This window comes from Homo sapiens, chromosome 3, assembly GCF_000001405.40.
Source record: "Homo sapiens chromosome 3, GRCh38.p14 Primary Assembly".
NCBI lineage: Eukaryota > Metazoa > Chordata > Mammalia > Primates > Hominidae > Homo > Homo sapiens.
Window position 1 is genome coordinate 84,881,608 of NC_000003.12, and position 14,010 is coordinate 84,895,617.

Here is a 14,010-nt window from a genome sequence, read left to right on the forward strand (position 1 = left end):
TTGAAAGCAGCCACAAGTCTGTCTACATGCAAGGAGAAGAGTTAGTATGGAAGGAATGTAAAATAAATTTGAGGACATGTCTTGAAAAAGCAGCAGTCTTCAATATCATATAATACTAATTTCATGTTTTAAAATTTCTCAATTTTCTCAAAAATATCTCTTTATACTTGATGTTCGAATCAGGCTCCATATAAGTTCTACATATTGCATTTGGTTGTTACTTTTCTTTAGTCTTTTTTAAGCCTTTAAATTCTAAAGGCTGATTAGATTTACATTAGCATTCTGGAAGAATCATTTTTGAAGTGGTCTTCTAGGTAGCATGTTGCATCACAATGAGACACATAGTGTCTGGCTGTCACATTATTAGTGATTGACCAGTTATTTCAGGAAGTGGCAGCTTGTTCCCTCCATTGTGAACTCATTGTTGGTTGGTTGGTGTTGGTTTACATCTTGAAATCAGTAAATAATCCTTGGGCTGAAACTTATGATCTTTGAGAGTAAGCACCCCCTATCAACTTTTTAAAAAAATGTTTTTCTTAAGTAGTTTATTATTCTTGCTTAATATAATCATTAAGTAGTGGTGGCAAAATGGTGACTTTCTGTGTTTCCAATATATGTATTAATATTAACTTGAATTCACATATAAAAAAGAATTTTTTATCAAACAAGGTTATTCTGTCAGTTAAAATACACTTCTTAGAGAAAAAAAGAAGAAAACATTTAATGTTTTTTCTTCATTACTGATCTTCTGAGTAAAGTAACTAATGTACTCACTATCCTCAATGATAAAAAGATTTACCGTTTTCAGTTTTTTATATTTTTGAAAATTATTTTTAGCTACGTGGATATAAAATATGTAATTAATAGTTACCACTTATGATTATTAAAATTAATTACAATTATTATTTTTTATTCTTAAATGATTACATCTTTGGCATCAAGATCCCCTTAGAGTTGTCACTGTGATTTTTCGGCATAACAACATTAGCTTATGATAGCTTTCTTGACTTCTAGCACAGAAAACTATTCCACAATCTTTTTGTACATATCCTGCCCTAGACCCAGAACAAGTTATTTTTCCAAGCAGCCCTAATTACTTTTAGTAAGAAATAATATTTAGAGAACATGATGTGTACAGGTGAGTGCTCAGAGCTACTGAGTTGTCATTGCTTCTAGGCATTTTCAGTGGACAGAGATGGGGAAAATTTTTTAACAACAACAGCAACAAAAACTATGAGTTTATACTTAACATTAAATTCAATATTATAGTTTTTCCTTAACTTTTTAAAATTTTATAATTTTAACTCCTTTCTCCTACAAGAAAAATTTTAAAAATACAAACTTTTATTTACTTTATTCTACAACACATAAAATAACATTTAAACAACCATAGTGGTGTCCTAACTAGAGCAATAAAGCTGAATAAAGGTTTGCCTTAGGTTTCCTTTGTACCTATCCCCTTTAAGGATGTACTGCCACAATACTATGTTCTGAATCATGTTGAAATTATTAATTTTTGCCTGTGTGGTTAATCACCAACTTGATATGTTCATTTGTTTTAGTTTGATCTGAATTTTTAAGACTTGCACTTTTATGTAATTTATTTTTAATATATACAAATCTTGCGTGTCTTAAGTCAGAATTAATAACAACATATGCTCAGAAACATCTCACTTTCATTCTTATCCTCTCCCTCTGTTCCCTGCCACCTGTATAAACAAACGTTTTTATTAGTTTTCATTTTGGCCTTCCAGTTTTGTTTTGTTTTGTTTTGTTTTTTACAAATATAAGCACAAATGTTACTATACTATATTTAATACTTTGCTTCCTATTTTTGTTTCCCCTGTGGGCACCAGACATAGCTGTATATTTATTTATTCGTGAAATTTCTTTACTGTCCTCTTTCAGAAGAAGGAATAATTAATGGTTAAAATTCTAAAATAAAAGTAAATGATAAGTTGAACAGAGAAGTTACTTTGTTGTTACTGAGAATAACGAGTGATGGAGATACCTGGGTAGGATGTTCTGGAAAGATACCTATGGGATTATGATATGAATCAGGTGAGAGGAGGGATGAGATAAATCCAGCTGTGTAGAAAGCAGACAGGGGCATATGTTTGACACATTCTAGAAACTGAGGGCAGGCCAGTGAATTTGAAATTTGTAGCATGGAAGCAAAGAGTTATAGTAGGACGTTGGAGAAATAGACAACTTGCAGACCAACAAAATTAATTTTTAAAAATTTAAATATGATGGAAAGCCACAGAATGGGTTAGGATGGAGAAGTAACAGAATTTCATCCTTAGCTAGTTTGCTTTGTCAGCACAGTGCTACAAAATCACTTTTGTCCTCCTCTCAATGCTTTAACTTCTTTGAAGCTTTCTGTAATACAAAGGCATTTGATCTCCCCTTTTATGTGTTACTACTTATGATTTTTACCATTTTCTCTTGTAATTTTTTGTTCATTTTGACTGTTATCACTTGCACCTATGAGTACTTTGAGGGGATAGTGTAGTATTTATCTTTGAATCTACAATGGATAACAGATGCATAACACATGTGGTACTCCAAGGAATTTTTAAAAATAAATAAATCAAAAGATGATACTAAAGTAAATTTTCCTCACAGACACTTTTTCTTTTTTTTTTTTTTGAGACAGAGTTTTGCTCTTGTTGCCCAGTCTGGAATGCAATGGCCTGATCTCGGCTCACTGCAACCTCCGCCTCCTGGGATCAAGTGATTCTCCTGCCTCAGCATCCTGAGTAGCTGGGATTACAGGCATGTGCCATCACATCTGGCTAATTTTGTATTTTTGGTAGAGACAGGGTTTCTCTATGTTGGTCAGGCTGGTCTCAAACTCCCGAACAGAGTTGATCCACCCGCCTTGGCCTCCCAGAGTGCTGGGATTACAGGCATGAGCCACCTTGCCTGGCATAGACACTTAATTTTTAAAATTGCATTCAAAATTTTTCTTTTAAAAATTTTATTGTCAAAAATATTTGTAGAAGGTAATTTAGTTCTTTTGGAAACTCTAACCTACATTTTTACCACCAAATTCAAATCAGTTTTATACAAAATCTACCCACCCTCATGAAGTCATCTTGAAAACCATTATTCCTTTTGCTTCTATATCATTTTGTGGGAGAATTCTTATTCAGTTTTACCTGGTTTTAAAGTTATAAGGGAGTATGGGGTGTGTGTGTGTTTACATGTGTCACATTTTTTACTAAGTAAAGTCCCAGAAGACGAGAACCACTTCTCCTTTAACAAATTGTATTTTATAATGCATGACACATGCATATAGCAAATTAAGCTTTGAGTAATTTTATTTCACAGAATGAATTTCAAAAACCAGATGAGTTTTGCTGGGTGTTTCAAGATGGCCAAACAGGAACAGCTCCAGTCTACAGCTCCCAGCGTGATCAATGCAGAAGAAAGGTGATTTCTGCATTTCCAACTGGGGTACTTGGTTCATCTCATTGGGACTGGTTGGACAGTGGGTGCAGCCCACAAAGGGTGAGCCGAAGCAGGGCAGGGAAGCACAAGGGGTCAGGGGATTTCCCTTTCCTAGCAAAGGGAAGCTGTGACAGACTACCTGGAAAAACGGGGCACTCTCGCCCAAATACGATGCTTTTCCCAAAGTCTTAGCAACCGACAGACGAGGTGATTCTCTCCAGTTCCTGGCTTAGCAGGTTCCGCACTCACGGAGTCTTGCTCACTGCTAGTACAGCAGGCTGAGTTCAATCTGCGAGGTGGCAGCCTGGCAGGGGGAGGAGCATATGCCATTGCCAAGGCTTGAGTAGGTAAACAAAGCAGCTGGAAGGTCGAACTGGGCAGAACCCACTGCAGCTCAACAAGGCCAACTACCTCTACACTCCACCTCTGCGGGCAGGGCATAGCAGAACAGAAAAGCAGGCAACTTCTGCAGACTTAAACGTCCCTGTCTGACAGCTCTGAAGAGAGTAGTCATTCTCCCAGCAGGGCGTTTGAGCTCTGAGGACAGACAGACTGCTGCCTCAAGTGGGTCCCTGAGCCCCGTGCAGCCAAACTGGGAGACACCTGCCAGTTGGAGCGGACAGACACCTCATATAGGCAGCTGCCTCTCTGGGACAAAGCTTCCAGAGGAAGGATCAGGCAGCAATATTTACTGTTCTGCAATATTTGCTGTTGGGCAGCCTCCACTGGTGATACCCTGGCAAACAGGGTCTGGAGTGGAACTCCAGTAAACTCCAACAGACCTGCAGCTGAGGGACCTGCAGCTGAGGGACCTGACTGTTAGAAGGAAAACTAACAAACAGAAAGGAATAGCATCAACATCTACAAAAAGGACATCTACAACAAAACACCTTTGTGACAGTGTAGGTCATCAACATCAAAGACCAAAGGTAGATAAAAACCACAAAGATGGGGAGAAACCAGAGCAGAAAAGCTGAAAATTCTAAAAAGCAGAGCACTTATTCTCCTCCAAAGGATTGCAGCTCCTCACCAGCAACGGAACAAAGCTGGACAGAGAATGACTTTGAAGAGTTGACAGAAGTAGGCTTCAGAAGGTCAGTAATAACAAACTTCTCTGAGCCAAAGGAGGATGTTTGAACCCATTGCAAGGAAGCTAAAAACCTTGAAAAAAGATTAGATGAATGGCTAAGTACTATAAACAGTGTAGAGAAGACCTTAAATGACCTGATGGAGCTGAAAACAATGGCACGAGAACTTCGTGACACATGCACAAGCTGCAATAGCCAATTCGATCAAGTGGAAGAAAGGGTATCAGTGATTGAAGATCAAATTTATGAAATAAAGTGAGAAAACAAGGTTAGAGAAAAAAAGTGAAAAGAAACAAACAAAGCCTCCAAGAAGTATGGGACTATGGGAAAAGACCAAATCTACGTTTGAGTGGTGTACATGAAAACAATGGGGAGAATGGAACCAAGTTGGAGAACACTCTTCAGGATATTGTCCAGAAGAACTTCCCTAACCTAGCTACATTCCCTAACCTAGGCCAACATTCAAATTCAGGAAATACACAGAACACCACAAAGATACTCCTCGAAAAGGTCAATGCCAAGACATGATTGTCAGATTCAACAAGGTGGAAATGAAGGAAAAAGTGTTAAGAGCAACCAGAGAGAAAGGTCGAGTTACCCACAAAGGGAAGCCCATCAGACTAACAGGGGCTCTATCAGGAGAAACCCTACAAGCCAGAAGAGAGGGGGGGCCAATATTCAACATCCTTAAAGAAAAGAATTTTCAACCCATAATTTCATATCCAGCCAGACTAAGCTTCATAAGTGAAGGAAAATAAAATCCTTTAAAGGTAAGCAAATACTGAGAGATTCTGTCACCACCAGGCGTGCCTTAAAAGGGCTCCAGAAGGAAGCACTAAACATGGAAAGAAACAACCAGTACCAGCCACTGCAAAAACATGCCAAATTGTAAAGACCACCAATGCTAGGAAGAAACTGCATCAATTAACAGGCAAAATAACCAGCAAACATCATAATGATAGTATAAAATTCACACATAATATTATTAACCTTAAATGTAAATGGGCTAAATGCCCCCAATTAAAAGACACAGACTGGGAAATTGGATAAGGAGTCAAGACCCATCAGTGTGCTATATTCAGGAGAACAATCTCACGTGCAAAGATGCACATAGCCTCAAAATAAAGAGATGGAGGAAGATTTACCAAGCAAATGGAAAGCAAAAAAAGCAGAGGTTGCAATCCTAGTCTCTGATAAAACAGACTTTAGACCAACAAAGATCAAAAGAGACAAAGAAGGCCATTACATAATGGTAAAGTGATTAATTCAACAAGAAGAGCTAACTATCCTAAATATATATGAACCCAATACAGGAGCACCCAGATTCATAAAGCAAGTCCTTAGAGACCTACAAAGAGACTGAGACTCCCACACAATAATAATGGGAGACTTTAACACCCCACTGTCCATATTAGACAGATAAACAAGACAAAAGGTTAACAAGGATATCCAGGACCTGAACTCAGCTCTGCAACAAGCAGACCTAATAGACATCTACAGAACGCTCCACCACAAATCAACAGAATATTCATTCTTCTCAGCACCACATCACACATATTCTAAAACTGACCACACAATTGGAAGTAAAGCACTCCTCAGCAAATATAAAAGAACAGAAACCACAACAAACTGTCTCTCACACCACAGTGCAATCAAATTAGAACTCAGGATTAATAAAATCTCTCAAAACCACACAACTACATGGAAACTGAACAAGTTGCTCCTAAAAGAATACTGAGTAAATAATGAAATGAAGGCAGAAATAAGGATGTTCTTTGAAACCAATGAGAACAAAGACACAACGTACCAAAATATCTGGGACACATTTAAAGCAGAGTGTCAAGGGAAATTTATAGCACTAAATGCCCACAAGAGAAAGCAGGAAGGATCTAAAATTGACAACTTAACATCACAATTAAAAGAAGTATAGAAGCAAGAGCAAACAAATTCAAAAGCTAGCAGAAGGCAAGAAATAACTAAGATCAGAGCAGAACTAAAAGAGATAGAGACATAAAAATCCTTCAAAAAATCAAGGAAACCAGGAGCTGGTTTTTTGAAAAGATCAACAAAATAGATAGAGTGCTAGCAAGACTAATAAAGAAGAAAAGAGGGAAGAATCAATAGACACAATAAAAAATGATAAAGAGGATATCACCACTAATCCCACAGAAATACAAACTACCGTGAGAGAATACTATAAACACTTCCATGCAAATAAACTAGAAAATCTAGAAGAAATGGAGAAATTCCTGGACACATACACCCTCCCAAGACTAAACCAGGAAGAAGTTGAGTCTCTGAATAGACCAATAACAGGCTCTGAAATAGAGGCAATAATTAATAGCCTAACAACCAAAAAAAGTCCAGGAACAGACAGATTAACAGCCGATTCTACCAGAGGTATAAAGAGGAGCTGGTACCATGCCTTCTGAAACTATTCCAATTAATAGAAAAAGAGGGAATCCTCCCTAACTTATGTTACGAGGCCAACATCATCCTGAGACCAAAGCCTGGCAGAGACACAACAAAAAAGAGAATTTTGGACCAATATCCCTGATGAACATCAGTGCGAAAATCCTTAATAAAATACTGGCAAACCAAATCCAGCAGTGCATCAAAAAGCTTATCCAATACGATGAAGTCGGCTTCATCCATCGGATGCAAGGCTGGTTCAACATACACAAATCAATAAATGTAATCCATCACATAAACAGGCCCAATGACAGAAACCACATGATAATCTCAACAGATGCAGAAAAGGCCTTCGACAAAATTCAACAGCCCTTCATGTTAAAAACTCTCAATAAACTAGGTATTGATGCAATGTATCTCAAAATAAGAAGAGCTATTTATGACAAACCCACAGCCAATATCATATTGAATGGGCAACAAGTGGAAGCATTCCCTTTGAAAACCGGCACAAGACAAGGATGCCCTCTCTCACCACTCCTATTCAACATAGTGTTGGCATTTCTAGCCAGGGCAATCAGGCAAGAGAAAGAAACAAAGGTATTCAATTAGGAAAACAGGAAGTCAAATTGTCCCTGTTTGCAGATGACATGATTGTATCCTTAGAAAACCCCATCATCTCAGCCCAAAATATCCTTAAGCTGATAAGCAACTTCAGCAAAGTCTCAGGATACAAAATCAAGTGCAAAAATCACAAGCATTCCTATACATGAATAACAGACAAACAGAGAGCCAAATCATGAGTAAACTCCCATTCACAATTGCTTCAAAGAGAAAAAAATACCTAGGAATCCAACTTACAAGGGATGTGAAGGACCTCTTCAAGGAGAACTACAAACCACTGCTCTATGAAATAAAAGAGGACACAAACAAATGGAAGAATATTCCATGCTCATGGCTAGGAAGAATCAATATCGTGAAAATGGCCATACTGCCCAAAGTAATTTATATATCCAATGCCATCCCCATCAAGCCACCAATGACTTTCTTCACAGAATTGGAAAAAACTACTTTAAAGTTCATATGTAACCAAAAAGTAGCCTGCATTGCCAAGACAATCCTAAGCCAAAAGAACAAAGCTGGAGGCATCACACTACCTGACTTTAAACTATACTACAATGCTATAGTAACCAAAACTGTATGGTACTGGTACCAAAACAGATATATAGAACAATAGAACAGAACAGCGGCCTCAGAAATAACACCACACATCTACAACCATCTGATCTTTGACAAACCTGACAAAAACAAGAAATGGGGAAAGGATTCCCTATTTAATAAGTGGTGCTGGGAAAACTGGCTAGCTATATGTAGAAAACTGAAACTGGATCCCTTCCTTACACCTTATACAAAAATTAAGTCAAGATGGATTAAAGACTTAAATGTTAGACCTAAAACCATAAAAACCCTAGAAGAAAACCTAGGCAATACCATTCAGGACATAGGCATGGGGAAGGACTTCATGTCTAGAACACCAAAAGCAATGGCAACAAAAGCCAAAATAGACAAATGGGATCTAATTAAACTAAAGAGCTTCTGCACAGTAAAAGAAACTATCATCACAGTGAACAGGCAACCAACAGAATGGGAGAAAATTTTTGCAATCTACCCATCTGACAAATGGCTAATATCCAGAATCCACAAAGAACTCAAAGAAATTTTTACAAGAAAAAAACAAACAATCCCATCAAATAGTAGGCAAATGATATGAACAGACACTTCTCAAAAGAAGACATCTATGATGCCAACAGACACATGAAAAAATGCTCATCACCACTGGTCATCAGAGAAATGCAAATCAAATCCACAATGAGATACCATCTCATGCCAGTTAGAATGACAATCATTAAAAAGTCAGGAAACAGCAGATGCTAGAGAGGATGTGGAGAAATAGGAATGCTTTTACACTGTCAGTGGGAGTGTAAATTAGTTCAACCATTGTGGAAGACAGTGTGGCAATTCCTCAAAGAACTAGAACTAGAATTACCATTTGACTGAGTAATCCCATTACTGGGTATACCCCAGGGATTATAAATGATGCTACTAGAAAGACACATGCACATGTATGTTTATTGCAGCACTATTCACAACAGCAAAGACTTGGAACCAACCCAAATGTCCATGAATGATAGACTGGATTAAGAAAATGTGGCACATATACACCACGGAATACTATGCAGCCATAAAAAAGGATAAGTGCATGTCCTATGTAGGGACATGGATGAAGCTGGAAACCATCACTCTCAGTAAACTATCACAAGGACAGAAAACCAAACACCGCATGTTCTCACTCATAGGTGGGAATTGAACAATGAGATCACTTGGACACAGGGCGGGGAACATCACTCACCAGGGCCTGTTGGGGGATGGGGGCCTGGGGGAGGGATAGCATTAGGAGAAATCCCTAATGTAAATGATGAGTTGATGGGTGCAGCAAACCAACATGGCACATGTATACCTATGTATCAAACTTGCACATTGTGCACATGTACCCTAGATCTTAAAGTATAATAACAAATAAAATTAATAAATAAATAATCAAATGAGTTAATTCCATTCTTTACCCTCAGTCTTCCTTGATTTCTTCCATCCTGTTTTATTAATCAAACTAACCCTATCATCTGACCAAAGCAGCCTTAATATTCTCTTTAGCTTGTCTGAACTTTGTAGAGGGGTTTTTTTTGTTCCTGATTATAGGTCCCTGATCTGCTTTTTTAGAGCATCTACTTCACAAAACTTGTAATTATTAATTCTACCTCTGCTTCTTTGAAATGTAAATCTTCTCCCAGACTCTTGACAATTTTACAACACAGAAATGTCTTTCTGAAGGACTTTCGTCAAGCCATTCCTTTGAAACGCAATGATCAAGAAAGATAATACCCATCTCCTAGTCTCAGTAGGAGGGTAGGAACCTAATTTCAATAAAGTATAATTAGCAAACACAGCCTAAACACATTGATCAACCTCCCATTAAAATTTTCCAGTATTTTTCTACCAGATCACCTATTGCTTAAAACCCTCCTGTCTTTTGTTTCCACAGAGTTGAGTTCAATCTCTCCTCTCTATTGCAATAGTCTTGAATAAAATCTTCCTTGCCTCTGAACTCTCTCTGATAAAATTTGTATTTGATACATCCCTCTTGTAAATTTCCATTGCGGGTGACTATTTTCCTCTTGTTGGCTGATACGGGAATAGGCAGATATATTGAGGGACTACAGATTGGATCTAGTGTATTGAATCTAGTGTATTTTTTAAATTGGATCTAGTGTATTCAAACTCCAAAAGATAGTTCATTTATTATTTAGTCCTTTCTGCGTATGTGGTCAAACAGGTTTTGAATGATTTGTGCCTGTATCATGGGCATAGTGGCTCTTTCTTATCTTCTACTTAGACTTTTGACAGCTTTACAGAAGTCCATATGGCCACCAGATTTTGCCAACAAATTTGTGCTGCACCATGGGTAGCATGGTTTACCTTTTCTCTTCTACTTATCTATTTAATGCTTTAAATCTGGGTCATCTACTGTGGTAAAGTGGTTGCCATATGGACTCCCTTCTGGAGGTACCACATTTAAAAAATAATTTTATATAAAATTAAGGAAGGGACAGAAAGTTTCTTATCTTCATTTAGCAGACAAGGCTGCAGTAAAGATAACCTAAGCGACTTGGTCAAGGTAGAGCAAAGATTAGCATCATGTGTCCTATTCTGGATCTTTAAACAAAGTAATTTTCTGTCCCCTCTGATAGAGTTGCTACAGAGGAGAGAGCTCCTTCAGCATAACATGCTTTCAGGAGAAAATTTGTTCAAACTCCCTTCAGGAAAAACAAATTTCCCAGACTGATGGTAAATACTATAACGGCATTGATGTAATTGACTGATTTTTTAATTCTAATATATAAACTTTAAAATACTGAAAATCAAGGTACTTTTGAAATGAATCCATCATTTGTTTAATCTTTAATAAAGACTAATAAATACACAGTGGAAGAAAAATAACACAAAATTGTCTGAAAACTACAGAGGTCTCTATTGCTCTTACTTTGTTTTTAATTGCAAACAGAACAGGAATAAACAAATGCAAATTTGGACATTAGAACATGTCCAACTATAGAAACATGAAATAAATAAATGAACTCCGTACAAAAAACAGGCTGAAAATGGTTTACATGATAAATGATATGCTAAAGAAATAAGGACAAAAATCATTCTGTAGCTGTGTATTAGTGAGAGTTAATTTTCTCTGTAAGATCAGAGGAAGAAAACAGTGGATCTTCAAAGTTAACATCCCTTCTTTTTTAATTTTCTCTTTAGATTATCCTCGATACTTGGATAATGTCCATATATGGTGAGTTTGTTAAATAATATGCTTTCCTCATCTCTGGAAAAACTACATAATGAATCTTTATTCTGATACTGCTGTCATTAGGTGTATTATCTTTCTTGTGCTTAACCTATAGATGCACACTTTTCCACCCCTTTTGTTTTGTTTTCTTGTGGATTCTCCTTTACATATATTTTGAATAGGTAATGCAGTCATAAATATGGTGAATGATTGCTTAGGATACTAATCATTTCCTCCTCCACGTGATTGAGAGTAGAACTACATTTCTCCTCCCAACAGGTGCTGATTTTGGCCATGTAACTTTATTTTATGTTATGGTGAGTAGATTAAATCTCTGAAATTTTAGGCTTTGTCATGTCACTTGCTTTAATCAAATAAATATTTACTGGTGTGACACAAGCAAACACCTGAAGCTTACTGGCACGATGAGGTATTGATTCATGTTTCTGGCATCACCACAGGCAGATAATGTGCTGGCTAGCCTGGCTGTCTACGAAAAATAAAAAAAAAAAACACGGGGAATATACTTAAACCCAACCTGAATCTTGGACTCAAGCCTAACTCTGCCCAGCTTAGATCAATTGAACTGCAGCCAAACCAGAGGTACCTGAAATAGAATAAATGATCATTGATTTAAGCCATTAAATTTAGGAGTGGTTTGTTATTCAGCCTTATGTGTAGCTAACCACTAGACAACAGTGTACACGTTCAAAATATATAGTAAAAGAAATTATTATTCTTCCTCCTTTTCTAACCAACCACATTTTTGCCCAGAATGAAATATATTTTATATATATATAAAATCAATTGCTTAAATATTCTTCAAAACATGCATACACAAGTAAACATATATTTACAAACAGACATAAATCCATCTCAAAAAAGATCATATATCACACATACAATTCTGTTTCATTTTTTTCACTTAATTTGCCTTCAGAATACTTCTATATTGGTATGAAAATATCTGCCTCATTCTTTGTAATGCCTCAATTACATTCCCTTTATAAAACTGTCATAACATGTTAAAGTAGCCTTCATTTTTAGACATTATAGATTCTTCCTGAACTTTTCACTCTCCTCCATTTTGAAGAATCTTCATGCTATTATGAGTACTTGATTTGAAAGTTTTATCTCCTATTATTACTTTTTCAATAGCAGTTAAAGTTAGTACATGTTTATCATTTAGCAAGGGCTGCTTAACTACACTATCTCATTTAATCTTCACACTAATCTTGTCAGACAAATATAACCATAACATCACAATTTTACTGAAGTTGAAAAAGTTAAGAGTTCACCCCACTCACAGATGATATGACTGAGCTTTCAAATTCAGGCTCTCCATTTTACAATATTGATTGACCCATTATAGATGTGTTGAAAATGCACAGGTTTCAATGCTTGCTAACCCAAATTGTATTATTTCATGTCAAATAAAGGAACATTCTCTTTCTACAGATGGGGCAGAAGTAGAGATTAAATAGAGAAATAATAAAATATTATGCATTCATTTACTCAATACCTATTTATTGCACATTTAGTACCTACAAAGCACTGTACTATGCAATGTAGCTAGCCTAGAATACATATTTGAAAATAAACACAAATTTTATGTTTATTCGCGTGTAAAATGTAACAGAATATGGCACCCCAAAATACACTACTTTGGCATAAGATTTATTTTGAGCTACAGGCAATTAAGATGAAGCTGATACAGAAAAAACTTTTCTGCCTTCCCCTTTGTGCCAAAAGCAATACATAAATTTGTAAAGGTATCTTCTCATCACTCTCTACCAGGAAAGATGAAGTTAATCGCTAGAGGCAACTCTAGATGCTTATCAGCCAAAAGATGGCATACAGAGGATTATATAGAGGAATCTATTTAACAAACCTTACTAACCAGCCCTTGTCTAACATTGGCTCTCCAAAATATTTACCTTCCCACAATTTGCCACATCTAGAAGCTCCAAGTCATCTTCTTTTTCTTGTCATTTTTGTACAAATTATTGTTCTCTGCTAAAATGCTATATAAGCTCAAGTTCTAACCATGCCATGAAGTTACTCATCACTGAATGTCCTCATGTATATGCACAATGTATGTGTTAATAAACTTTTGTCTGTTTTTCTCCTGTTATTATCTTTTTGGCCAATCTAATTTAAAAAAATTTTAATTGATACATGATTGTACATACTTATGGAATACAATGACATTTTGATACATGTATACAATGTGTAATGAGCAAACTAGGGTATGTAGGATATCCATCACCTCAAGCATTTACCATATATTTGGGTTGAGAAAAATTCAAATTTTCTCTTCTAGCTATATTGAAATATAAAATAAATTGTTGTTAACTATAGTCACAGTACTGTACTTTTGAACACTAGAACATATTCCCTCTGTCTGGTTGTATGTTTGTGCACATTATGTACCCGCTCTTCATTCTCCCTGGCCCTACTCAGCCACTGGAAGCTCTTCTACTCCACTTCCATGGGATCAAATATTTAGCTCCTATATACATGAGTGAGAATATATGATATTTGTCTTTCTGTACCTGGGTTAACTCACTTAATAATATGACTTCCAGTTCCATTCATATTGTGGCAAATGATTGGATTTTATTCTTTTTAATGGCTGAATAGTATGTAATTGTG

The 14,010-nt window shown here is 36.4% G+C and overlaps 1 long non-coding RNA gene across 1 annotated transcript; it reads left to right on the forward strand.

Moving 5' to 3' along the window:
* Positions 1-482: 482 nt before the first annotated feature.
* On the forward strand, positions 483-11,772 carry LINC02025 (long intergenic non-protein coding RNA 2025). The gene is made up of 4 exons (NR_147147.1): positions 483-497; positions 3,337-3,516; positions 11,325-11,358; positions 11,635-11,772. It is a non-coding gene; the product is annotated as a long intergenic non-protein coding RNA 2025 (long non-coding RNA).
* Positions 11,773-14,010: the final 2,238 nt, after the last annotated feature.